At 52.6% G+C, this 24758-nt stretch overlaps 4 protein-coding genes across 14 annotated transcripts in view, besides 12 other annotated features; 3 read left to right on the top strand and 1 right to left on the bottom strand.

Annotated features, from left to right (window-relative positions):
• On the top strand, positions 6295–13286 carry NICN1 (nicolin 1, tubulin polyglutamylase complex subunit). The gene is made up of 6 exons (NM_032316.3): positions 6295–6511; positions 9191–9367; positions 9623–9736; positions 10181–10252; positions 10566–10670; positions 10745–13286. Exons 1-6 carry the CDS (start codon positions 6380–6382, stop codon positions 10784–10786), a joined length of 642 nt encoding a protein of 213 aa, NP_115692.1. The 5' UTR covers positions 6295–6379; the 3' UTR covers positions 10787–13286.
• Positions 6365–6564: an enhancer, noted in NCBI's record as "active region_19869". NCBI's record gives its function as "activates an Ori minimal core promoter by ATAC-STARR-seq in GM12878 lymphoblastoid cells {active_cell/tissue: GM12878}" and the evidence as "EXISTENCE:reporter gene assay evidence [ECO:0000049][PMID:35858748]".
• Positions 12765–13518: an enhancer, noted in NCBI's record as "H3K27ac-H3K4me1 hESC enhancer chr3:49459534-49460287 (GRCh37/hg19 assembly coordinates)". NCBI's record gives its function as "activates a minimal SCP1, AML or CMV promoter by ChIP-STARR-seq in naive and primed H9 embryonic stem cells {active_cell/tissue: H9 hESC(naive and primed)}" and the evidence as "EXISTENCE:reporter gene assay evidence [ECO:0000049][PMID:30033119]".
• AMT (aminomethyltransferase) lies at positions 13146–18841 on the top strand. 5 transcript variants are annotated; one of them, NM_001164712.2, is made up of 10 exons: positions 13146–13258; positions 13348–13515; positions 14047–14127; positions 15277–15408; positions 15831–15909; positions 16214–16359; positions 16468–16648; positions 17646–17801; positions 17901–18004; positions 18252–18841. In NM_001164712.2, the coding sequence occupies exons 1-10, from the start codon at positions 13169–13171 to the stop codon at positions 18273–18275; spliced, it is 1161 nt and encodes a 386-aa protein (NP_001158184.1). In that variant the 5' UTR covers positions 13146–13168; the 3' UTR covers positions 18276–18841. The 5 variants fall into 5 exon arrangements, 4 of the variants coding, with proteins under 4 accessions (NP_001158184.1, NP_000472.2, NP_001158183.1 ...); NR_028435.2 differs by having other exon boundaries at positions 13362–13515; positions 17901–18841; NM_000481.4 differs by having other exon boundaries at positions 17901–18841.
• Positions 13519–14271: an enhancer, noted in NCBI's record as "H3K27ac-H3K4me1 hESC enhancer chr3:49458781-49459533 (GRCh37/hg19 assembly coordinates)". NCBI's record gives its function as "activates a minimal SCP1, AML or CMV promoter by ChIP-STARR-seq in naive and primed H9 embryonic stem cells {active_cell/tissue: H9 hESC(naive and primed)}" and the evidence as "EXISTENCE:reporter gene assay evidence [ECO:0000049][PMID:30033119]".
• Positions 17243–17961: an enhancer, noted in NCBI's record as "H3K27ac-H3K4me1 hESC enhancer chr3:49455091-49455809 (GRCh37/hg19 assembly coordinates)". NCBI's record gives its function as "activates a minimal SCP1, AML or CMV promoter by ChIP-STARR-seq in naive H9 embryonic stem cells {active_cell/tissue: H9 hESC(naive)}" and the evidence as "EXISTENCE:reporter gene assay evidence [ECO:0000049][PMID:30033119]".
• TCTA (T cell leukemia translocation altered) lies at positions 19143–23196 on the bottom strand. The gene is made up of 3 exons (NM_022171.3): positions 22979–23196; positions 22509–22563; positions 19143–20799 (listed from the first exon to the last, which is right to left on the bottom strand). The coding sequence occupies exons 1-3, from the start codon at positions 23190–23192 to the stop codon at positions 20757–20759; spliced, it is 312 nt and encodes a 103-aa protein (NP_071503.1). The 5' UTR covers positions 23193–23196; the 3' UTR covers positions 19143–20756.
• Positions 19388–19597: an enhancer, noted in NCBI's record as "active region_19868". NCBI's record gives its function as "activates an Ori minimal core promoter by ATAC-STARR-seq in GM12878 lymphoblastoid cells {active_cell/tissue: GM12878}" and the evidence as "EXISTENCE:reporter gene assay evidence [ECO:0000049][PMID:35858748]".
• Positions 22984–23393: an enhancer, noted in NCBI's record as "active region_19867". NCBI's record gives its function as "activates an Ori minimal core promoter by ATAC-STARR-seq in GM12878 lymphoblastoid cells {active_cell/tissue: GM12878}" and the evidence as "EXISTENCE:reporter gene assay evidence [ECO:0000049][PMID:35858748]".
• Positions 22984–24496: a biological region, named in NCBI's record as "Sharpr-MPRA regulatory region 7935".
• Positions 23329–23623: an enhancer, noted in NCBI's record as "tiled region #7935; HepG2 Activating non-DNase unmatched - State 1:Tss, and K562 Activating non-DNase unmatched - State 1:Tss". NCBI's record gives its function as "activates a minimal TATA promoter and a strong SV40 promoter by Sharpr-MPRA in HepG2 and K562 cells {active_cell/tissue: HepG2 | K562}" and the evidence as "EXISTENCE:reporter gene assay evidence [ECO:0000049][PMID:27701403]".
• Positions 23464–23763: a silencer, noted in NCBI's record as "silent region_14365". NCBI's record gives its function as "represses an Ori minimal core promoter by ATAC-STARR-seq in GM12878 lymphoblastoid cells {active_cell/tissue: GM12878}" and the evidence as "EXISTENCE:reporter gene assay evidence [ECO:0000049][PMID:35858748]".
• Positions 23522–24496: an enhancer, noted in NCBI's record as "NANOG-H3K27ac-H3K4me1 hESC enhancer chr3:49448556-49449530 (GRCh37/hg19 assembly coordinates)". NCBI's record gives its function as "activates a minimal SCP1, AML or CMV promoter by ChIP-STARR-seq in naive and primed H9 embryonic stem cells {active_cell/tissue: H9 hESC(naive and primed)}" and the evidence as "EXISTENCE:reporter gene assay evidence [ECO:0000049][PMID:30033119]".
• RHOA (ras homolog family member A) overlaps positions 23643–24758 on the top strand; it is a 52832-nt gene continuing 51716 nt past the window's right edge. For 6 of the 7 annotated variants that reach the window (NM_001313944.2, NM_001313946.2, NM_001313947.2 and 3 more), the window contains exon 1: positions 23643–23799. The gene's annotated coding sequence lies outside the window, so the exon portion shown is untranslated. The remainder of the gene's footprint in view (positions 23800–24758) is intronic. The other variant, NM_001313945.2, reaches the window with a different exon arrangement.
• Positions 23824–24103: a silencer, noted in NCBI's record as "silent region_14364". NCBI's record gives its function as "represses an Ori minimal core promoter by ATAC-STARR-seq in GM12878 lymphoblastoid cells {active_cell/tissue: GM12878}" and the evidence as "EXISTENCE:reporter gene assay evidence [ECO:0000049][PMID:35858748]".
• Positions 24114–24203: a silencer, noted in NCBI's record as "silent region_14363". NCBI's record gives its function as "represses an Ori minimal core promoter by ATAC-STARR-seq in GM12878 lymphoblastoid cells {active_cell/tissue: GM12878}" and the evidence as "EXISTENCE:reporter gene assay evidence [ECO:0000049][PMID:35858748]".

Raw genomic sequence — 24758 nt, 5'->3', positions numbered from 1 at the left:
AGTAGAGATGGGGTTTAGCCATGTAGGCCAGGCTGGTCTCGAACTCCTGACCTCAAATAATCCGCCTGCCTTGGCCTCCCAAAGTGCTGGGATTACAGGTGTGAGCCACCTCACCTGGCCTAATTTTTGTTTTTGTTTTTTTTTTTTTGAGACGGAGTTTCGCTCTTGTTGCCCAGGCTGGAGTGCAATGGCGCGATCTTGGCTCACCGCAACCTCTGTCTCCCGGGTTCAAGCAATTCTCTTGCCTCAGCTCCAAGTAGCTGGGATTACAGGCATGCACCACCACCCCGGCTAATTTTGTATTTTTAGTAGAGACGGGGTTTCTCCATGTTAGCCAGGATGGTCTCGATCTCCTGACCTTGTGATCCGCCCGCCTCTTCCTCCCAAAGTGCTGGGATTACAGGTGTGAGCCACTGCGCCCGGCTTTATATTCTTATTTTTTGTGATCTTGGCTCACTGCAGCCTCGAACTCCTGGCCTCGGTGATTCTCCAATGTCAGCCTCCTGAGTAGCTGGAACTACCGGCATGAGCCACCATGCTCGGCTAATTTTTGTATTTTTTGTAGAGACGGAGTTTCACCATGGCTGACCTCAAACTCCTGGGCTCACACAATCATCTTGCCTCAGCCTCCCAAAGTGCTGGGATTGCAGGCATAAACCACTGTGCTCAGCCTTTTTTCTTCCTTTTTTTTTTTTTGAGACAGATTCTCACTCTGTCACCTAGGTTGGATTGTGGTGGTGTGATACAGCCGTGACTCAGGCTCAAGAGATCCTCCAGCCTCAGCCTCCTAAAGTGCTGGGATTATAGGCATGAGCCACTGTGCTTGCCTATCTGGTTCTTTTTTTTTTCTTTTGAGACGGAGTCTCACTCTGTCACACAGGCTGGAGTGCAGTGGCGTGATCTCGGCTCACTGCAACCTCTGCCTCCCAGGTTCAAGCAATTCTCCTGCTTCAGCCTCCCAAGTAGCTGGGACTACAGGTGCGTGCCACCACGCCCGGCTAATTTTTTGTATTTTTAGTAGAGGCGGAGTTTCACAGCGTTAGCCAGGATGGTCTCAATCTCCTGACCTCGTGATCCACTCGCCTTTCCTCCCAAAGTGCTAGGATTACAGGTTTGAGCCACGGTGCCCGGCCGCATTTTTGAGATGAAGTCTTGCTCTGTTGCCAGGCTGGAGTGCAGAGGCGTGATTGTTGCTCACTGCCACCTCTGCCTCCCGGGTTCAAGTGATTCTCCTGCCTCAGCTTCTCAAGTAGCTGGGACTACAAGTGTGCACCACCATACCCGGCTAATTTTTGTATTTTCAGTAGTGACAGGGTTTCACTATGTTGGCCAGGCTGATCTTGAACTCCTGATCTTGTGATCCACCCTCGTCAGCCTCCAAAAGTGCTGGGACTACAGGCTTGAGCCACCGTCCCAGCCTCCATCTTGGTTTTAAGTGGAAGTTCCTAACACCAAGCAATATGGGCATGGTGGCTCTGGGATGAAACCTCAGCAATTAGGGAGGCAGAGGTAGGAGGATTGCTTAAACCCAGGAGTTCCAGACCAGTTGGCAACAAAGTAAGACCCTTATCTTTTTTTTTTTGAGACAGATGGAGTTTCGCCCTGTGGCCTAGGCTGGAGTGCAGTGGTGTGATTTAGGCTCACTGAAACCTCCACCTCCTGGGTTCAAGCCATTCTCCTGCCTCAGCCTCCCTAGTAACTGGGACTACAGACGCGCGCCACCATGCCCAGCTAATTTTTGTATTTTAGTAGAGACGGGGTTTCACCATGTTGGCCAGCATGGTCTGGATCTCTTGACCTGGTGATCTGCCCTCTTCAGCATCCCAAATTGCTGGGATTATAGGCGTGAACCACCGCGCCTGTCCTGTTTTGTTTTATAGAGATGTGTGTCACACTATGTTGCCCAGGCTGGTCTTGAACTCCTGTGCTCAAGCAATCCTTTCACCTTGGCCTTCCTACATGTTGTGATTATAGGTGTGAGCCTCTGTGCCCTGCCTTATTGAGAGCTATTGGACATGGCTGTAAAACAGAGAGAATCAATGAGGATTTCACATTGAAAAACCTGCCTGCCACAATTGGGCAATGTATTGAAGGGGCTGGAGTGAAAGTGGCTGTTTACCAGCAAGCTAAGAGGTGAAACTCATCTGTAATGAGGGGCCATACAGTTCTGTGTCTGCTGGTGGCTGTGCTCACAGAGATGGGACCTAAAGCCAGAGCTTGTCTGGATCCTCCTGATGCCCAGGGGGTCCATACTGTAATCCATGGGATTTGGGAAGGGCTCTGCTTCAGCACGGGCAGGCTTCCTATAGGGGAATATCTCAGGAACATGGAGGGAGCTACACAGTGAATCATTAGCCTGGGTCAAAATGGAGATGGCAATGATCAGACCAGTCCAACATTAGAAATTGTCTTCCCCTGACAACACCCAAGGAGGAGGCAGGGAATGTTTTCTGTTACTTAAGTTCACCAGGCCTGGAGTGGGAAGGCACAGCTCCTCTAGGCCATTCCTTGGGATGGCCTGGAATCATGTGCCTGGGCTTGTTTGACCTCACATCATGAGAGCCCCATAGGCTGTGCAGGATCTGTGTCTCTGGGGCCCCTCAATATAGAGTAGACACAGGTTAACTGAAGCTGACCATTGCCTGGGGGGTTCTGACCTGTGAGATGGGAGCCAAAGGGAGGCCAGGGTTCCAGCTTTACTCCACGCTGTTTTCCTGGGTTGGGGAAATCACTGGACATCTTCTGTCTGAGCTTTGCCATCTATAAAACAGGCTTGGCTGGGCGTGGTGGCTCATGTCTGTAATCCCAGCACTTTGGGAGGCCGAGGCAGGCGGATCACAAGGTCAGGAGTTCGAGACCAGCCTGAGCAACATGGAGAAACCCTGTCTCTACTAAAAATACAAAAATTAGCTGGGCGTGGTGGCACACGCCTGTAATCCCAGCTACTCAGGAGGTTGAGGCAGGAGAATCTCTTGAACCCGGGAAGCGGAGGTTGCAGTGAGCTGAGATCGTGCCACCGCACTCCAGCCTGGGTGACAGAGCAAGACTCCGTCTCAAAAAATAAATAAATAAATAAATAAATAAATAAAACAGGCTTAACTGAAAATCTCTTGGACATTTTTTCCACAAGTATTTGGAAGAATGGTGATGATAAATATGATGGTTAAATTGTGTGTGTGGTTTTTGCTTCTGTTTTGTTTTTGAGACAGGGTCTCACTCTGTCACCCAGGTTGGAGTGTAGTGATGCAATTTCAAGGCTCACTGCAGCCTTGACCTCCCAGACTCAAGTGATCTTCCCACCTCAGCCTCCCAAATAGCTGGGACTACACAGGCACACACCCCCACGCCCGGTTAATTTTTGTATTTTTTGTAGAGATATACTTTCACCATGTTGCCCAGGCTGGTCTCGAACTCCTGAGCTCAAGCTATCCACCTGCCTCAGCCTCCCAAAGTGCTAGGATTACAGACATGAGCCACCGTGCCCGGTCAATATTTACTTTTTTGCTTTACTTTTTCGTTTTTTCCCCCCACAACCACTCCCTCCCCCATCCCCTTCTCGCTGTTTTTTTTTTTTTTGAGACGGAGTCGCCCAGGCTGGAGTGCAGTGGTGTGACCTCGGCTCACTGCAACCTCTGCCTCCCAGGTTCGAGTGATTCTCCTGCCTCAGCCTCCCAAGTAGCTGGGACTACAGGTTCGTGCCACCACGCCTGGCTAATTTTTTGTATTTTTAGTAGAGATGGAGTTTCACCGTGTTAGCCAGGCTGTTCTCGATCTCCTGACCTCAGGATCTGCCTGCCTTGGCCTCCCAAAGTGCTGGGATTACAGGCGTGAGCCACTGCGCTCGGCCCCTTCTCACTCTTAAGATCATGTTTATTGAGGTATAATTTAGATACAATAAAATGAACAAATCATAAGTATTCAGTTTATTTGTTTGTTTTTTTAGAGACAAAGTCTCACTTTGTTACCCAGGCTGGTCTCAAACTCCTAAGCTCAAGTGATCCTCTCACCTTCATCTCCCAGGGTGATGGGATTACAGGCCTGAGCCACCCTGCCTGGCCTATGCATTTCTTTATATTGATGAGTAGTATTCCATTGTATTGATATAGCACAATTGGTTTATCTGTTCATCTGTTGGACATTTGGATTATTTTCAAATTTTGGTTATCATGAATAAAGGACTTTGGTTTTGTTATGCTTTCATTTACCTTGGGTAAATACTTATGAGTGCAATGGCTAGATCATATTGTAGATATAAATTAAGAAAGACCCTGTTTTTCAAAGTGGTTGGAGGCCAGGTGTGGGAGGCAGGAGGATTATTGGGACCCAGGAGTTTGAGACCAGCTTGGGCAACACAGGGAAAAATAAACAAAACTAGGCCAGGCACGGTGGCTCAGGCCTGTAATCCTAGCACTTTGGAAGGCCGAGGTGGGCAGACTGCCTGAGCTCAGGAGTTCGAGACCAGCCTGGGCAACAGGATGAAACACCATCTCGACTTAAAATACAAAAAATTAGCAGGGTGTGGCGGCATGCACCTGTAGCCCCAGGTACTTAGGAGGATGAGGCAGGAGAATCCCTTGAACCCGGGGACTCAGGAGGCGGAGGTTGCAGTGAGCTGCGATTGCACTGCACTCCAGCCTGGGCAAAAAGAGCAAAACTCTGTCTTAAAGATTAAAAAAATAAAAAGGCCGGGCGCGGTGCCTCATGCCTGTAATCCCACCACTTTGGGAAGCCAAGGCGGGCAGATTACCTGAGTTCAAGACCAGCATGACCAACATGATGAAACCCCGTTTCTACTAAAAATACAAAAAATTAGCCGGGCACGGTGGCTCACGTCTGTAATCCTGGCACTTTGGGAGGCCAAGGCGGATAGATTGCAAGGTCAGGAGTTCGAGACCAGCCTGACCAATATGGTGAAACTCCGTCTCTACTAAAAACAAAAAAATTAGCCAGGCGTTGGTGGCGCATGCCTGTAATCTCAGCTACTCGGGAGGCTGAGGCAGAAGAATTGCTTGAATCCGGGAGGCGGAGGTTGCAGTGAGCCAAGTTGCGCCACTGCACTCCAGCCTGGGTGACAGAGACTCCGTCTCAAAAAAAAAAAAAAAAAAAAGGAAAAAAAGAAAAAAAAATTAGCTGGGCGTGGTGGCGGGCGCCTGTAATCCCAGCTACTAGGGAGGCTGAGGCAGGAGAATCGCTTGAACCTAGGAGGCAGAGGTTGCAGTGAGCCGAGATTGCGCCACTGCACTCCAACCTGGGCGCGACTGAGCGAGACTCCGTCTCAAAAAAATAAAATAAAATAAAAATAAGAAATAAAATAGACAAATCTAGCAGGACGCAGTGGCGTGTGCGTGTAGTCCCAGCTACTCTGGAGGCTGAGGTGAGATCACTGGAGCCCGCGAAGTCGAGGCTGCAGTGAACCGTGATCGCAGCATTGCACTCTAGCCTGGGTAACTGAGACCCTGTCTCTAAAACAAACAGAAAACCCCAAAGTGGTTGGAAATCAGCAATGGATGAGGGTTCCAAGCACTCCACATCTTTGTCAGTCTTTAATTTTAGCCTGTCTAATGACTGTGTGGAGGTTCTAATTTGTATTTCCTCTATAAATATTAAGTATCTTTTCATGGGTTTATTGGCTGTTTATCTACTTTTGCAAAGCGCGTGTTCAAATCCTTTTTTTTTCCAACGGCTAATACGTATTTTTGAGGTTAATCTAGGCTAATCACTGCTGATTTGTGTTTATGTATTTATATGCCTTTAACAGACTACCGCCCTAAGCAGTGAAAGAAACCCAAAGGGAGCCGAATGGCTTGCATACAGAAAGGCTGGGCAGTTGCTGGGCGCGGCTCGCGGGTAGGCTCTAAGCCTCGAGCAGTGATTGGCTGAAGAAGAACTTCAGTGGGAGGGGCGCGGTGACCCACGCCTGTAATTCCGACACTTTCGGAGGCCGAGGCGGGCGGATCACTTGAGGTCAGGGGTTCGAGACCAGCCTGGACAATATGGTGAAACCTCGTCTCTACCAAAAATTAAAAAAAAAAAAATTAGCAGGGCATGGTGGCGGGCACCTGTAATCCCAGCTACTAGGGAGGCTGAGGCAGGAGAATCGCTTGAATCCCGGAGACGGAGGTTGCAGTGAGTCGAGATAACGCCACTGCACTCTAGCTGGGGCGACAGAGCGAGATTCCGTGTTAAAAACGAAAAAGAAAAAAACTTCCGCAGGCACTTCCGACTCCCGGCCGATCCTGAGCTTCGGTGATTGGCTGGGCTGGCCGTACGCGGGGCCTCCCGGGATTTGTAGTTCTTGAGGCTCGGCTGAGGATGCCGGGAAGGGCTGGTGGTCGGGGGCCTAGAGCGGCGGTTGCACTTAGTTGCGGCTGCTGTCACCATGTCCCGCGTTTTGGTGCCTTGCCATGTGAAAGGCTCCGTAGCCCTCCAGGTGGGCGACGTGCGGACCTCCCAAGGCCGGCCTGGCGTGCTGGTCATCGATGTCACCTTCCCCAGCGTCGCTCCCTTCGAGGTGAGCAAGCCTGGTGGGCGCGACCGAGGCTCCCGGGCGGGGCCGACCTGGAATCTCGGTCGTTTCCCAGGCATTTAATCTTTTATGGGAAAGCCTCTGCCGTCTTCCTTGCCCTTGCAAATTAGTTAATCATTCATTTATTTAGTCCTTCAGTTAACACATTTTTCCTAGAATTGAGCTTCCTGTCTTGTTCTCTGCTATGTCTCTTGCCCACATCCAGGACAGCGCTGGCATGCAGGTGGCGAGAGTGGGCTAGGTTTTGCTGGAAATACCAAATAGTGAACCAAAATAGAAGTTAGGGGTCATTTTGTCCCTGGCCACAGTTGGGGATCGCTAAGCAATGATTTACCCCAAAACCTGCCTCCCCATTTTTTTTTTTTTTTTTTTGAGACGGAGTTCACTCTTGTTGCCCAGGCTGGAGTGCAATGGCACGATCTCGGCTCACCGCAACCTCTGCCTCCCGGGTTCAAGCGCTTCTCCTGCCTCAGCCTCCCAAGTAGCTGGGATTACAGGCATGCACCACCATGCCCAGCTAATTTTGTATTTTTAGTAGAGACAGGGTTTCTCCATATTGGTCAGGCTGGTCTGGAACTCCCGACCTCAGGTGATCCGCCTACCTCGTCCTCCCAAAGTGCTGGGATTACAGGCTTGAGCCACCGCACCCGGCCACCCCTCCCCATTCTTATAGTCCCTCCCAGAGGTCACTTACCTCATCACCATACCCCCAATGACTCGAGTTGCCAATCTCCAGTTGCACTTCCACATCAGTTGATAGAGTGACTGGACACTGTATGACTCAACAAAGAGGGCAAAACCCACCTCCAATGGCGTGGCATTGAGAGCCCTCTGTGTCTGTGCCCCACCTGTTTCTGTCTCTTTTTTTTTTTGAGATGGAGGTTCACTCTTGTTGCCCAGGCTGGAGTGCAGTGGCGCGATCTCGGCTCACTGCAACCTCCGCCTCCTGGGTTCAGGCAATTATCCTGCCTCAGCCTCCCAAGTAGCTGGGATTACAGGCACCCACCATCACGCCCGGCTAAATTTTTGTATTTTTAGTAGAAACGGGGTTTCACCATGTGGGACAGGCTGGTCTCGAACTTGTGACGTCAGGTGATCCACCCACGGCATGAGCCACCGTGCCCAGCCCTGTCTCTCTTGTCTCAGGAGCTTTGTGCTGTGGTGTGTGGTTCTCCCCCAAGCTGTTCCTTACCATCAAATGGGAAACTTAATTAAAGAGCCCAACCTTGGAAATCCTGACTTAGTAGACTAAGGTGAAGCCAGGACAATTTATTTGGTAACACATTTTCTTGGGTAATTCTGATGAGTATCCAATGACAAGATCCACTGCAGTAGTCAAGCTGAATCACTGGCTGTTCCAGTGGCACACCAGGTTCTCTCACCCTTTGGTAATTATTTGTATATGCTACTTTTACATTATCTACATTTCTTTTTTTTTTTTTTTTTTTCTGAGAGGTAGCCTCGTTTTGTCACCCAGGCTGGAGTACAGTGGCTTGATCTTGGCTCACTGCAACCTCCACCTCCTGGGTTCAAGCAATTCTCCTGCCTCAGCCTCCCGAGTAGCTGGGATTACAGGCATGCGCCACCACGCTCAGCTAATATTTTTGTATTTTTAGTAGAGATTGGGTTTCACTATGTTGGTCAGGCTGGTCTCGAACTCCTGAACTTAAATGATCCACCCGCCCCAGCCTCCCAAAGTGCTGGCATTACAGACAGATGTAAGCCACTGCACCCAGCCTACGTTTTCTACATCTCTTTTTTTTTTTTTTTGAGACCGTGTCTTGCTCTGTCGCGCCCAGGCTGGAGTGGAATGGCGCGATCTCAGCTCACTGCAAGCTCCGCCTCCTGGGTTCACGCCATTCTCCTGCCTCAGCCTCCCGAGTAGCTGGGACTACAGGTGCCCGCCACCAAGCCCGGCTAATTTTTTGTATTTTTAGTAGAGACGGGGTTTCACTGTGTTAGCCAGGATGGTCTCAATCTCCTGACCTTGTGATCCGCCCGCCTCGGCCTCCGAAAGTGCTGGGATTACAGGCTTGAGCCACCGTGCCCGGCCACGTTTTCTACATTTCTTAGTCCACTTGGTGAACTCTTCCTCCTTCAGGCCTCATATGTACATTTTCTGCCTCTTCCAGGGTTAGAGCGCTGCTCTCTAGCAGCATCTTGGACGTGTGGCAAGATCTGCAGTCGTGGTTTGTTTCCAGGACCTACTCATTTAGACTGTGAGCACCTTTAGGAAGGCAGAATTGTCTTTGGGCCCTAGTGATACTTGTTGAAATTGTTAGTTTAGTAGAAGAGTACATTGAAAGGGGAAGAGGCAGGTGGATCACCTAAGGTCAGGAATTTGAGAGCATCCTGGCCAACATGGTGAAATTCTGTCTCTACTAAAAGTACAAAACAATTAGCTGGGCGTGGTGGCACGTACCTGTAGTCCCGGCTACTAGGGAGGCTGAGGCAGGAGAATCGCTTGAACCTGGGAGGTGGAGGTTGCAGTGAGCTGAGATCACGCTACTGCACTCCAGCCTGGGCAAAAGAGCAAGATTTCCTCTCAAAAAAAAAAAAAAAAGAAAAGGTGGGGAGAAGGAAGAGGTGGCACCTTTGATCTTTGAGCTTTTCAGGCCCCTGGGCCTGGGTCTGACTTGTTGTAATGGGTTGTATGTGTTCTAGTTGCAGGAAATCACGTTTAAGAATTACTACACAGCTTTTTTGAGCATCCGTGTCCGTCAGTACACCTCAGCACACACACCTGCCAAGTGGGTGACCTGCCTGCGGGACTACTGCCTAATGCCTGACCCACACAGTGAGGAGGGAGCCCAGGAGTATGTATCGCTGTTCAAGCATCAGGTCAGCTGGGCCTCAGGATGGCCAGGGCAGCCCAGATGAGGACTTACCAGAGGTGGGGGGATTGGATCAATATACCAAGAGGGAAGAGGGGGCCAGTCTGGCCTGAACTGTGACTTCCAGGGAAGTGCCTTGGAGGGACTACTGTTCCTTCCTTCCCAAGGCCTGTGGGGTGGGCAGCATTCTGGCTCATTGCTGGTTGGGAGGCTTCTGGGCAGTGAGCTGGATCCTTGCTGGGTCCTTGTGTGTGTGTGTCAGATGCTGTGTGACATGGCTAGAATATCGGAGCTACGCCTGATTCTGCGGCAGCCATCACCACTGTGGCTGTCTTTCACAGTGGAGGAGCTGCAGATCTATCAGCAGGGACCAAAGGTAAGTGACTAGCTCAGCTGCTGGCTGGCCCTTTCCCCAGAAAGCTTCTATGACTGGGAAAGCTAGGTGGTGGGGTGGGTAATGGGTGAAGATTGTGAATGGGGCCTTCATGGAGGTTAGCTGGGTGTGAATGCTGGAAGCTCACAATGAGAGGTGAGGCCATGTCCCCATATCCCCTGACCTTTGGGGCCACCTGCTACTTTCAGAGCTGGAGCCTTTAGGTGCTGGGAGACACTTTTGAGCTTGTGTTTCTGAGGACTCCGTCTGCACAGCAGGAGAACTTAGGTAGTCTGACTGCCTCTTTAGGTCTCTGTGGGCTCCCTAAACAGGGTTTTCCCAGTGTCTGAGGCCCAGCGGCCCTTCTCTCTGCTCCTAGGACCTTGGAATCTGGTCCCAGAGCTGTCCACTTTGTCTCACTCAGGGCAGTACATCTTTGCTTTGCAGAGCCCCTCCGTGACCTTTCCCAAGTGGCTCTCCCACCCAGTGCCCTGTGAGCAACCTGCACTCCTCCGTGAGGTAAGCCCTCACCCTAGGTAAGAACCATGTGTGAATGGCTCTAGTGTCCAACACAGGCCAGGTAGACCCCTTCCTGTAAAATTCTGGGGCTGGGCCCAGGGCCCTTGGGTGTTATCTTCCTCCTGGGTATTCTGTGGGATTTGAGGCATCTCTGTTGTGGGGCTACATCAGGCCCTAACCTCATGTTTCATAAGCCATCTGAGAATGTTGTTGGTCTCAGCTGGAGGGCCCCTAGCCCAGGTTGGCCTCTCTGGAGCCTGAAGGGCACTGCTGGGGAGAGACCCATGGCCACTGACCCCTCCTTCTGGAGCAGGGTCTCCCAGACCCCAGCAGGGTATCCTCCGAGGTGCAGCAGATGTGGGCACTGACAGAGATGATCCGGGCCAGTCACACCTCCGCAAGGATCGGCCGCTTTGATGTAAGTAATCGCTTCCTTCTGCTTGGCTTGCTTTGCCCTGAGCAGATCAGACCTGATGGTCTTTTGTATTTCAGGTGGATGGCTGTTATGACCTGAACTTGCTCTCCTACACTTGAATGGTTGCTCCTAGCCAAGATGTTGGCCTTTCTGTGCCCACCCAGACTTGGTTTGGGCCACCAGAGGCTGAAGTGTATTTCCTGTGCATTCCAAGTGTTGCCTGCATGCCTGTTCTGTCTGGGCCACATTCACAGATTCAGGATTCTCAGGGGCTTACCGTGTTACTTCAGCATGAGCTCCTGGCATGGGGGTGCTCTGTCTTCGCCTGGCTGCAACTCAATTCTTCCTTCTACCCAAAAACACTCCAGTCAGTTGTACTTACTGAGAATCCCTGAGTGCCCTCTGCCCCTTCTGGCAACATGCACATTCCTGTCTTCTGCCTGCTCCCTCATGTCAGTGCAGTTGGGCTGGGCTGACCTACTAAAACCTGCTCCATGTATGGACCTGGAAGGCCATTGCTGCCATGGCACTTGGGACACTTGAGGAAGAAACAGAAACCTTATTTCTTCCTGTGTGTCCCCTAGTGGTTTTCTTTCCATTTGTGTTATGCCACAGAGAGAAATTTCCTGTCTGAACTCTTCTGCTGCCTGCCTAGGAAGGAAACCTGAAGATTTGGGCAGCCTGAGTCTCTTGGTTTCTGAGCTGGCTCCTGAATATATGTTCAAGTGGGTGTGCCCATAGGGCCTGGGCACGTGTCTCTAGCAAAACCAGGGCCTGAGCATAAGAACTGGGACCCTTCTAGGCAGGGTGCAGTGGCTCACGCCTGTAATCCCAGCACTTTGGGAGGCCCAGGCAGGCGGATCACCTGAGGTCAGGAGTTCAAGACCAGCCTGACCAACCTGGAGAAACCCCGTCTCTACTAAAAATACAAAAAATTAGCTGGGCGTGGTGGTAGGCACCTGTAATCCCAGCTACTTGGGAGGCTGAGGCAGGAGAATCTCTTGAACCCGGGAAGTGGAGGTTGCGGACCTGAGATCATGCCATTGCACTCCAGCCTGGGCAAGAAGAGCGAAACTCCATCTTAAACAAACAAACAAAAAAAAAAGAACTGGGACCCTTCTGCCATCTGACATAGCCCAAAGCACATCTCTATCCTTTCTCCCAGTTGCCCCTCTCCTTTTTTGTTGTTTTTTTTGAGGTTGAGTTTTGCTCTTGTTGCCCAGGCTGGAGTGCAATAGTGCAATCTTGGCTAACTGCAACCTCCGCCTCCCAGGTTCAAGCAATTCTCCTGCCTCAGTCTCCCGAGTAGCTGGGATTACAGTCATGCATCACCATGCCTGGCTAATTTTGTATTTGTAGTAGAGATGGGGTTTCTCCATGTTGGTCAGGCTGGTCTCAAACACCTGACCTCAGGTGATCTGCCTGCCTTGGCCTTCCAAAGTGCTGGGATTACAGGCATGAGCCACCGCGCCCGCCCTGCCCCTTTCCAAGAGATATGCTCAGCATAATGAGAGATCAACCGTGGTGGGGAGTGGGTCCAAGTAAGGGTTCTCATTGTTGCCTTTTAAGAGGCCTAAGTCCTGCATTAACTCAGTCCAACCATTAAGTGATGCAGGCTGCTCTTCCCTCATGTGAGAAAAACCTGTTTCCCTCTGGTTCTTCCTGGCTTTGCACCTGGTGGCTATTACAAAGCAGTACTGCAGTATGTCTTGGACCTGGAAAGTTGGACATGTGTGTGGCTCAACAGTTTTCTCGGGGGAGTTCAGTGACCTTTTGGTGGCCACCCTCTGTTCTCACCTGTGAGTTCTTGCAGGTGGCGACTTCATCTGCAAGGTCACTTACATAGCCCCACTCAGCTGCTTCGGAAAGCGTGACGAAGCAGTAGTCCTCAGTGTGTGTGTAAGTGAAGAGGACCTTGTGGTAGCAGGGACCATGCTTCATTCGTGGCTGTGTCCCCATCTGAGGGCCTGGTATGCAGTAAGATCAATAAATACTTGTGGAATGCATGACTGCTGGCTGCCTGTGTCTGCCTGGTGGGAGAGCTGTGGAACTAGGGGTCCACATGAGGACAGACTACTGTGGTGCTGCCTACCTGCCAGGCTGGCCCACCTTCCCCACCCCCACTTGACCTTACTCTCTTGAGGTCCTAAAGGTATGATTCAGACCTTTCAGCCCTTTCCAGAACTTTGACCCTCTGGAGACAGGGCGGTTCTGCAGGGGGCGGTCTAGCCCCTAGCTTTGTTCTGGGCAGCCCAATCAGCTCTGGATTGCCCGAGCTGCCCTGAAGAGTCAGCCGAAAGAGCTGGAGGCTTCTTCCCTGTGGTTGCGGGTTCCTGCATTCTCTGCTCTAAATCCCAGCCTGCCCTTGGGGCTGCCCACGCCCCCTTCAGATCCTTTGCTCCGGAGAGAGACCTGTCCGAGCAGAGGCCTGGACTACATCTCCCGGCGTGCCTGGCAGTGTGGTGGCCTCTGTGCGCCGTCTGCACTCGTTGCAGGCGACGATGCAGAGGGCTGTAAGTGTGGTGGCCCGTCTGGGCTTTCGCCTGCAGGCATTCCCCCCGGCCTTGTGTCGTCCACTTAGTTGCGCACAGGTGGGATAGAGGGTGCTGATCTTGGAGGGTGGGGGAGGGAAGCGGCTGGGGGCTAGGGCCCTGGTGGCACTAAGCCCAGCCGCCCACAGGAGGTGCTCCGCAGGACACCGCTCTATGACTTCCACCTGGCCCACGGCGGGAAAATGGTGGCGTTTGCGGGTTGGAGTCTGCCAGTGCAGTACCGGGACAGTCACACTGACTCGCACCTGCACACACGCCAGCACTGCTCGCTCTTTGACGTGTCTCATATGCTGCAGGTGAGCCAGGGGAGCACACTGGCCATCTGATCAGGCCTTCCTCCCTGTTTACAGTGGTCCACTCCTTGGCTTTGTTTGCTGTGAACTGGATTCCAAGGACAGCCTTCTCAGAAGAGCTAGAGGTCATGGGGGTGTCATGGATAGGTCAATGGCCCCAAGGAAATGAGCTCAGAGGGTCTCATCATCTCATCCTTCTAGCTTGCCCCCATTAAATGGTGTGCCTTAATGTCCCGGGTTTTCCAGGGCTGACACCCACTCTCATGTATTGGGCTGGATGTTGGTTTGAAAAGGGGTTATTTCAGGAAGGTGCTAGGTCCTGTCCAGTTCCCTGGCAGTCCCCCCACACAGAGTGACTGGGGGAGGTCAGGAAATCAGAAGGTGGTCCTTTGCCACGTGTAGAACCAAAAGACTGGTTAGTCACTTTGGGTGGGCTGGACTGCACTGTGGATGGCAGGGAGGATGCATCCTTGCTTAGTAGCCTTTTGGATTGTAGCTGTTGCAATGGCCTGAGGCTTTCAATCTCTTCCCCAGACCAAGATACTTGGTAGTGACCGGGTGAAGCTGATGGAGAGTCTAGTGGTTGGAGACATTGCAGAGCTAAGACCAAACCAGGTGGGCCCTTTTATTTCTGCTCTATGAGTTTTCTTAGTCATGAGCCAGCAAATGGGCTGAGTCCCTACCTCAGGCTTAGGGGCACAGAGATGAGTCAAACACAGCTTCTCAGGGCTTGCAGTCTTGGACAGAATCCCTGAGTCATTTCCAGAGACACAGACATTTGTAGGGAGGGGAATATCCCAGTCTTACTACATCAGGCTAGGAGGCCAGAAACCAAGGTTAATATGCTGCTCTCTGGCCATCCCTTCTGCTTAACCCCTCTCTATTCAACATGTGGTCCCTGGCCAGGCGACGTGACTCAAACACCTGTAATCCTGGCACTTGGGGAGGCCAAGGCGGGTGGATCACCTGAGGTCAGGAGTTCGAGACCAGCCTGGCCAACATGGCAAAACCTCGTTTCTACTAAAAACACAAAAATTAGCCGGGCGTGGTGGCGCGTGCTTGTAGTCCCAGCTACTCGGGAGGCTGAGGTTGCAGCAAGCTGAGGTTGCACCACTGCACTCTGGCCTGGGCAACAGAGTGAGACTCAGTCTAAAAAGAAAAATAACAACAACAAAGTGTGGTCTCTAAACCAGCATCTTTGGAGCTTGTTAGGAATATAGTCTCAGGCACTGCTGCAGACCTGCTGAATCAGAACCTTCATTTTAACAAGATCCCCAGGTGATTCATGTGACCCCCTCAACCTCAGGCTTTTTGTCCATCCAGTGGGGAGGCTAAGGAAGTTTTTTGGGGGCATTGCTATGGAGTACTTAGGAGAGCCTGCGATCATCAAGATGACCTTTGAAGCTTTTGTCCTGTGGGTTGCCACATGGGCTAAGTCGTCCCAGGTTTGGGTAGGTGAAGCAGCAGGTCCTAGGTGTCATAGATTAAGTGTCAGATGGGACTCTCAGTACAGAGTGGGGAGGGGTGCAGAGGTTGCACCAGATCAGGGAAGCACCCCAAGGTAGGGAGGGGATGAAAACTTACTTGATGCATGAGGATCAAAGACCTTGGACTTGGGCCCAGACTTGTACCTTGCACACCCTGAGTCCTTCACATTAGGGTTCATAACCTTTTGGTAACTAAGTGGGTCCAGGGTTGTGTCTGGCTCACCCTTGGCCTTGCCCTCCTGGACCTGGAAGCCAAAACGCTCCACTTTGGTCCTAGGGGACACTGTCGCTGTTTACCAACGAGGCTGGAGGCATCTTAGATGACTTGATTGTAACCAATACTTCTGAGGGCCACCTGTATGTGGTGTCCAACGCTGGCTGCTGGGAGAAAGATTTGGCCCTCATGCAGGTATACCCCCTCTGTGTTCTAGACACCTTGTCTTCCTTGTTCATAGAGCAGTATCCTTGTTGTCCAAGACAGGGTTGGCACAGACAAGGGACCTGGAAAATGGCTCTTTCAGTGAATGAACAGCTATGAGACTCAAGAGCAGGCCCTCTCTGGAGCACGCCAGGGTTTGGTGGTGGGGGATTACCAGGCATGGGGAGGGGGTCTTGGCCCCTCTGGTGTGAGGTGGCAGAACTGGGCTTGGGTCATCTCTATCACTTAGTAGCTATGTGACCTTGTAAGATGGGAACCAGCCTACTACCTTTTTTTTTCCTCCCTCCTCCTCCTCCTCTCCACTGTCCTACTACTGTCCAGCTCTGCAGCGTCCAGCCCATGGTAGCTGCTCAGTAAGTGGCCCCAGATGCTCTTGTGTTTCTGTCTTTTAGGACAAGGTCAGGGAGCTTCAGAACCAGGGCAGAGATGTGGGCCTGGAGGTGTTGGATAATGCCCTGCTAGCTCTGCAAGGTGAGAGGGCTGGGCTGGGGTTGGAGCCAACCTTTGCCTTCCTGGCTTCATTGACTGCTTAGCACAGAGGCCATACCAAGAAGAATGTGTGGAAGGTGTGATATTTGTGTGCCATAATTTTAAGTTTTGTATCTTGCCCTCCTCCTACCTACCACAAGGCTCCATGGGCTAGGGACAAGGGCATCTTCTCCCACTTGCAGAGTAAGACATGCTCAGGGCTTGTTCTGGTCCCTGAATAAGGCTTTAGTCCAGCTTTGAGGGATGCTGGGACCTGGATACTTGGTCACTGGCTCCCTGGGCCCAGGCCCCACTGCAGCCCAGGTACTACAGGCCGGCGTGGCAGATGACCTGAGGAAACTGCCCTTCATGACCAGTGCTGTGATGGAGGTGTTTGGCGTGTCTGGCTGCCGCGTGACCCGCTGTGGCTACACAGGAGAGGATGGTGTGGAGGTGTGTCAAGAAGTGGTGTGGGGGCAGTACAGGGCACAGGATGCATGTGAGGGGTTGGGGGTATGTGGTACAGGGAGCTTCCCATCTGCCCTCTGGTGTTTCATACAGATCTCGGTGCCGGTAGCGGGGGCAGTTCACCTGGCAACAGCTATTCTGAAAAACCCAGAGGTGAAGCTGGCAGGGCTGGCAGCCAGGGACAGCCTGCGCCTGGAGGCAGGCCTCTGCCTGTATGGGAATGACATTGATGAACACACTACACCTGTGGAGGGCAGCCTCAGTTGGACACTGGGTGAGCTGGGCCAGCACTAAAGGATAGGGTCCTGGAGGTCAGGGTGACCCTTGATAAGACTAGCCAGCCCATGACTCATCCAAAGGTTATGTAGCCTGAAGCCTTCCTGAGCCTCCCTTCCCTGAAGGTGCCACTGTGCCTTTGCCCATTAGAAACTGCAGATGTTGGCCGGATGCGGTGGCTCACATCTGTAATCCCAGCACTTTGGGAGGCCGAGGCGGGTGGATCACGAGGTCAGGAGATCAAGACCATCCTGGCTAACATGGTGAAACCCCGTCTCTACTAAAAATACAAAAAAAAAATTAGCTGGGCATTGTGGCGGGCGCCTGTAGTCCCAGCTACTCGGGAGGCTGAGGCAGGAGAATGGCATGAACCTGGGCGGCGGAGTTTGCAGTGAGCCGAGATTGCGCCACTGCACCTCCAGCCAGGGCGATAGAGCGAGACCCCGTCTCAAAAAAAAAAAAAAAAAAAAAAAAGAAACTGAAGATGCTGCCGGGCATGGTGGCTCACACCTGTAATCCCAGCACTTTGGGAGGCCAAGGTGGGTGGATCATGAGGTCAGGAATTCGAGAATAGCCTGGCCAACATGGTGAGACCCCGTCTCTACTGAAAATATAAAAATTAGCCAGGCGTGGTGGCGGGTGCCTGTTATCCCAGCTACTCGGGAGACTGAGGCAGGTAAATTGCTTGAACCTGGGAGGCAGAGTTTGCAGTGAGCTGAGATCGTGCCACTGCATTCTAGGCCTGGGCGACAGAGTGACTCCATCTCAAAAAAAAAAAAAAGAAACTGAAGACGCTCGGCAGGTGGGCAGCATGGCCTCCAGGGGATAGGAGGTGGTTGGTTGGCTGACGGCAGTGAAGGGAGGAATAGAGCCTGGAGTAGCCCAAGCAAAGGGGCCTTGATGCTAGATAGTGTGTTACTTGAGGACCTCATAAGGACCTCCTGTGGCCAGGGCTTCTATGGGCTGTGGCTTATGTCTCATGTGTCATTCTCCAGGGAAGCGCCGCCGAGCTGCTATGGACTTCCCTGGAGCCAAGGTCATTGTTCCCCAGCTGAAGGGCAGGGTGCAGCGGAGGCGTGTGGGGTTGATGTGTGAGGGGGCCCCCATGCGGGCACACAGTCCCATCCTGAACATGGAGGGTACCAAGATTGGTAGGTGGACCAGGGAAGCTGGGAAACCCTTGTCTCTTCCCAGGAGGGTGGGGGCACTGGCAGGGTGGTGCTGATGCGTGGCTTATGCTTGCTTGACAGGTACTGTGACTAGTGGCTGCCCCTCCCCCTCTCTGAAGAAGAATGTGGCGATGGGTTATGTGCCCTGCGAGTACAGTCGTCCAGGGACAATGCTGCTGGTAGAGGTGCGGCGGAAGCAGCAGATGGCTGTAGTCAGCAAGATGCCCTTTGTGCCCACAAACTACTATACCCTCAAGTGAAGCTGGCTCAGGGTGGGGCTGTCCCTTCCAGGAGTTTTGCCCCTACAAGGGGTTAGTCAAGAAGCTGAGGCAGAACTCACTGGGGGTGGGCAGTTAAGGTGGAGGCTGATTCTAATTGTCTGGTTGAGGGGCCACACCACCTATTCCCCCCACCTAACTCATGCCATTCCAGCTTCCTTCAGGACCCTGCTTCTGAGTGACGGACCAGCTCACACAATGTCTTGTTTCAGTCCATGATCCCACTGACCTACTCTTGCCTGCTGGAGGGTAATGAGAAGCTTTGGTTCTGCCATCTCTCCCACTCTGCCAGGTGCTGGCTGTGGAGCAAAGGCTCACCTTTGTGGAGAGGATAAAACCTGCCCAACCTACCTCACCATGGTTTTTCACATTGCAAAGGGTAATAACATGGGCAGTGCGGACTTAGGCTACCCCCTCCAGTTTGCTTTCCGTAAATGCAAATTGTCCTTACTGCAAGTCAGGAATGATTGCTGACTCACAGTAGGGCTGCTATGCCTGTGTGTAAACTTGGGGATGGCTGAGGGAACATAGACTCACTCTTCCACATTCCCAAGTTGGTCTAGTGTGCTGCCCAGTAGCAAACCATGGCAGACTCACCACCTATTCTGAGTTCCAGGGCTGCTGTAGGGCAGGGTGGGCTTCCTCCCAGACTTGCCTTACCCTGGGCTGATCTTTGCCCCTGGTATGCATTAATGGACTCCACTGAATCCTGAAAAAAAAATTAAACTTCCTTCTTACTTGCCAGTCTCTAGCTTCATTGTTCTCTGTTCACAGGGTTCCTGAAATGCCAACCCAATGCCTGCCTTCCTGGCCTCCAAGACAAGCTTGGAATAGGTTCTCCTTGAAAGGGGCCAGTCTATAAAAATGGAGATATTGCCCCTGTTGGGCACCCCATCCCTGCTCCTCCAGGGAGCTGCATCACCTCTCCCCTCCCTGCAAGTTATTGCATCTGGGTCCCAAGGGGCAACAGCTTCCAGGATGTTCCCTCTCTCACTGCCCCTGTGCATGCACACCCTTGTTCTGTCTGAATAACCACAACAACCGATGCACTTCCGTGTTTAATAAGCCACATCCTCAGTTGAGCCTGGGGTGAAATGTGAGATCCTGACTCTGTGCAGTAGTATTAGTGGGTGGGCCAGGGGCTGTGAATAACATCATCCTCAGTACAGCTGCAATTCCAGGGCCCCTCTACCACAAAGATGGCTTAAGCAAAGGCAGCCAGATGGAAGTATGATATCCAACAGGAAGGAAGTAGGCAGGGGTCACTAAAGTGGCTGGTGGCCCAGCAGATGGAAACAGAAGTATGGCCCCGAGGGAAGGAGGCAGGTCCAGGGCTACAGTGCTTTCAGGTACTGGTGTTTCTATAGGGGCATTTGCCACCCACATCTTTGGAAACTCCCCTGGCCTATTGTGACATGGCAGGGCTGCCTGGTTCTTGAAGGTAGAGAAAATGCTAGTGGGGAGGAGCTGAGCCTGTGACGTGCATTTGTACCAGGTCCAGATGGGAAATGATGAGGCTGCAGGCTATGATGGGGCCACTGTGCACTAAATGCTTGGTACCATCCTATGAGGGGACAAGGTGCAGACCCACATTCCCATAGGCACTTAAGCAGTGGTGGATAGGAGGCTACCCCAGGGGTTCAGCTGTCCTTCAGGTAATCAGCTTACCCCCAAGAAGGACTGAGAGGAATATGAGTAGGACAGTTGGCAGATGACAATTTCCTTTGCCTGGCTCACGGGAGAAGTCTGGTTGGGCCAGGTATGTGGGTGTTTGGTGCCTCCATCTGGATAGTGCCAGCAGGTACACCACCCTGCCTTATACCTGAATGGCCAGCTAAATAACCATAGAGCTTAAGGTCTGGCTCAGGTCAGGATTCCCTGGCTCCTTGCCAACAAAGCAAAACCAGAGATTCAGAAAACTCAGGGCCTAGGAGAAAACAGACCTGCCTTACAAACCCCAGAGCTGGTCAACCTCAGGCTTCCTCTCAGGAAAAAAATTTTTTTTTTGAGATGGGTCTTGCTCTGTTGCCCAGGCTGGAGTACAACGGCGCAATCTTGGCTCACTGCAACCTCTGCCTCCCAGGTTCAAGCAAATCTCCTGCTTCAGCCTCCTGAGTAGCTGGGATTACTGGTGTGTGCCACCACACCCGGCTAATTTTTGTATTTTTAGTAGAGATGGGGTTTTCACCATGTTGGTCAGGCTGGTCTCGAACTCCTGACCTCGTGATCTGCCTGCCTCAGCCTCCCAAAGTGTTGGGATTACAGGCGTGAGCCACCATGCCTGGCCAACTCAGGAAAAATTTTTATGGGGTCACATCTTGGGGATGGAAGAGGGACAGGAAAAGAAACCTAAGACAAAAGAACTGATGGTCTTCCCAACCCAGAGGCTTCCTGAGTTATCACCCCTGAGAGAGGAAGAACACAATCTCTCTCCTTAAGGCACCCAGATAAGAGTACAGGCAAACTCTTCACTTGCCCAGTGCCTGGGTGAGGGAGCAGGCTTAAGAGGCAGAAGAGGCCCAGCCCTGTAGGCACTGGGTACTCCCTGCTACCAACCCTGAACCCCCGGCAGTTGTCCCTGAGGTCTGGGGAGTAGCAGAACCCAGTGTAGAAGCCAGCAGACCCAGTGATGCCCTTGGAGACCCTCTGCTGCCTTCCCTTATTCTCTGTGGGTTTTGAGAGGTTCGTTTGCTGCCATTTCCCTGAAAGTGATGGAGAGAGAGAAGAGAGAGTGGTTATTCCATGGGCAGAACAGTTGCTGAAATTGGCTCTCCCAAGCTCCTTCTTGGGGGCTGAGCTAGGCTCAGTAAGGTCACATAACAATCTAGACCTCTCTGCTGGTCTCCCACAGCCCACCCTGGGCCCAGCACCTTCTCCCTGCAGACTCATTCTTCTTCCTGGTTCTCCATGTTAGTACGGCATTGCCATCCTTCTCTAGTTTTTTTATTCTTTTTATTTATTACTATTGTTATTACTTTTCTTTTTTTGAGACGGAGTTTCACTCTTGTTGCCCAGGTTGGGGTGCAATGGCAAGATCTCAGCTCACTGCAGCCTCCACCTCCCGGGTTCAAGCAATTTTCCTGCCTCAGCCTCCCAAGTAGCTGGGATTACAGGCGCCCGCCACCACACCCAGCTAGTTTTTGTATTTTTAGTGAAGACGGGGTTTCGCCATGTTGGCCAGGCTGGTCTCAAACTCCTGGCCTCAGGTGATCTACCCTCCTCAGTCTCCCAAAGTGCTAGGAACAGGCGTGAGCCACCATGCCCGGCCTGTTATTTTTTTTGAGACAGAGTCTCACTCTGATGCCCAGTCTGGAGTGCAGTGGCGTGATCTGGGCTCACTGCAACCTCTGCCTCCTGGGTTCAAGTGATTCTCATGCCTCAGCCTCCCGAGTAGCTGGGATTACAGGCGTATGCCACCATGCCCAGCTAATTTTTTCTATTTTTAGTAAAGACGGGGTTTCCCTATGTTGGCCAGGCTAGTCTCAAACTCCTGACCTCAAGTGATCCGCCCATCTCAGCCTCCCAAAGTGCTGGGATTACAGGCATGAGCCATGGGGCCTGGCCTCTTCTCTAAGACAGAAACCTGGGCAGTGGCAGCCTTTCTAACCTCTAGCCCTAACTCTTGGACCCCTTTATCTACTTGCCATGAAGTAGGCATTTATAAAGGCAAATTAGATCAGACCACAGCCTTGCTGAGTTAGTCTTTCAATGGCTCCCAGGGTCCAACAAGCTCTCACGTTCAAGCTCCAGCATCACAGTCTTACCTATTCTAATATGTCACCCGTATTCTTCCCTCTTAGCCTTGCTCAATCCATTCCCTTTGCTTGGTACACTTTGTCACCCTGTGGCATTTGATCTCGGCTTAGGTGTCTTTCTTGGGAGAAGCCTTCCCTGACCACCCTTGCCCCATGCACTGCCGCCCTCCCCTAATAAATCCCTGGCTCCCCATGAGCAGGGCCCGGGTTGTCTTTGTTCTCTGGGCCTCGTGTGGCCCCTATCACGTGATAGGGGCCCAGAGATTATCTGAATGAATGCCCTGATTAGTGAGCGCATGTTTTGCAGAAGAGGAGGCTGACCCTGATGAGGTCAATGTGCTCAGGACAGAGATTACTGCCTTCCCAACTGAGGGGATTGTGCAGAGTGGAATCCAACAAACCTGTCATTTCATCTCTCTGAAATTATGACAATACCACCACCTATCCTACAGGCTGCTGAACAGCATGATGATGGACTGTCCAGACCTTGGTGTCACCCTAACTTGAAGCCTGAGCTCTACGTGCAGACTTGAAGCTTGCTGCAAAGGCCATTAAGCTGGTGGGCTTAAAGCCTGAGAACTCCCCTCTCTGTCACCAGCACAGGAGTGTCCTTGGAATGCCAAGCATGGGGTTGCGGTATGGACAGATTTACTCACCACGAAGGGAAATGCGTGGAGCCATCAGGCGTGGATCCATTCTGACCACCCAGACCTGGAGGCAGAAACACATCCAGAGCTGCAGAAGGCTGGGGTGGGAATCTGAGCAGGCATCAGCCCAGGTCAGGTTAGAGACCACTGGTATTGTTTGGTGAAGTCTGGTGAGGGTCCTAAGGGACTAATGGTATTGCCAGGTGAGAGTTCTGAGGAACAGATACAATGTGATGGGTGGACTGGTGGGGATTCTGGCGTAAAATGGTATGGTGGCATGAGTCAGGGCACAACGTTAAGTTCTCCCATCCAAGTACCTGGCTTAGCTTCCGAGGTCAGATGCGTTCAGGGTAGTAAGGCCGTGAACCAATGTTAAGTTCTGATGAGCCTCTTGCAGGATAGTGGGGAACCCAATGGTACAGTCGGGAGAGGGTGGGGGCGGGGGCGGCCAGCCCACGGAGGTTCGTAGGAAGCCTCACCTGGACGGTGATACAACCCGGTCACTGTATTCCCGTAGAACCCCCACGCCAGCTGGATGCCCAGGAGACTTAACACCAACCACAGCAGCAGCAGCTTGAAGAGGGTCACGCGCATGTCCTGCGCCTCCCACTCCCGCAAGAACTCGCTGCCCAGCGCGCCCAGCACCGTGGCCGGCAGAGCCTGCAAGGCCTGCCCAGACCAGGACTCCGCCATGACTGGCCCTCGCCCCACCCGGGGTACTGTCACCGTAGTCCCCACCACGCACGCGTGTGGTCTTCCGGGACCAGGCCCGTTAGTGCGCACGCGTAAACCCAGCCAGGGTGGGGCCTACTTCGCGTGCGTGAAGAGTTGGCAGTTCGGGGAGGAGTATTAAAACCGCGCACGCGCACCTAACCCCACCCTGCTTGCTTAAGGGATGAGTGACTCCGGGAGTACAAAATAGCAACCAGGTCTTTTATAGCCCCGGAGTTCCCGTGATGCCCCACGCGGCTGCAATGATTGGTTAAGGGTTTTGCTTTTAGGGCGTGGACGGGCTCCTGAGCAATAGTGGATGAGCTGTGAGTGCGCGCGCGTGCGCGGGGCCGCGACCTGTGCCGGCTCGAGCCCGCTGGGCACTCGGAGGCGCGCACGTCGTTCCCCGCCCTCCCGCCGCCGCCCGCCCTCGCTCTCTCGCGCTACCCTCCCGCCGCCCGCGGTCCTCCGTCGGTTCTCTCGTTAGTCCACGGTCTGGTCTTCAGCTACCCGCCTTCGTCTCCGAGTTTGCGACTCGCGGACCGGCGTCCCCGGCGCGAAGAGGCTGGACTCGGATTCGTTGCCTGAGGTGAGCGGAAGGGTTCCCTCCAGGCGCCGCGGGGCCCCAGGCCCGCCAGCCCGGTACTCTTCCGGCCGGCAGGCCGCCGCACCGCCGCGGCCGCGCCCCACCGGCTGCTCGTGGCCGAGCCGCCCCTGGCCCCTGACCCTTGACCTGACTCCCAGCCCGGGCCCCGCGCCCCAAGCGGCGACCCCGCCCGCGCAGTCCCCGGAAGCGCGCCCGGTAGTCTCCTGTGCCCCTTCCCCCGCCCGGCCGGGCCTGGTGGAGCCCAGGCTGCCCGCCTGCCCGCCCTCGGTCCCCGGAGCTTCCTCTCCCAGCGGCGCCGGGCAGGGCGGGGGCTTTGGGCCGGGCCCCGCGACCGCGCAGTGTAGCCGGCCGCTGAAAGCGCGCGTGGCTGTCGGAGTTGAAATGGGAAAGAAACTCTTTACAACTCCATTTTGCTTTTTACGTTTAACGAGAAACGACAATCACTGTTTCATATTGATTAAAGTCCAGTTACACTTTGGGTAGGTTTTCTTTTAATGCAGACTTGTTGGAGACTGTGTAAGTAAGTAAAAGATTGTATTGAACGCTTAGGGGTATGATCTACGGCCATACCACCTGGAACGCGCCCGAACTCGTCTGAAAGCTTTGGGGTCTGTTTTGAGTGGAAAAGGGGTATTTTCCATTTGGAAAAAAAAAACAACACACAAAACTGTAAATGATTTAAGCGATGTTGCATGAAAATAGATGCAATGTTGCTTAGTCGAAGTCGCTGTATTGATTAGGAATGATCTAAATATCTGTACCTTAGTTACTGATTGGATCTACAGTTACGGGTCGTCTTCATTGAATAGCGCTATTCGCATCCAAGTTGATTTGTTCACAAACCTTGTTTAGTAGTTTACGGTGGAAAATTGGAATCCTTTTTACCTCAAAGTTGGTTCCACTTGTGTTTTTTAATAGTTCTGATTTTAAATTTTTACCTC

This window comes from Homo sapiens, chromosome 3 (assembly GCF_000001405.40).
Source record: "Homo sapiens chromosome 3, GRCh38.p14 Primary Assembly".
NCBI lineage: Eukaryota > Metazoa > Chordata > Mammalia > Primates > Hominidae > Homo > Homo sapiens.
This window is presented reverse-complemented; position numbering and strand designations above follow the sequence as displayed.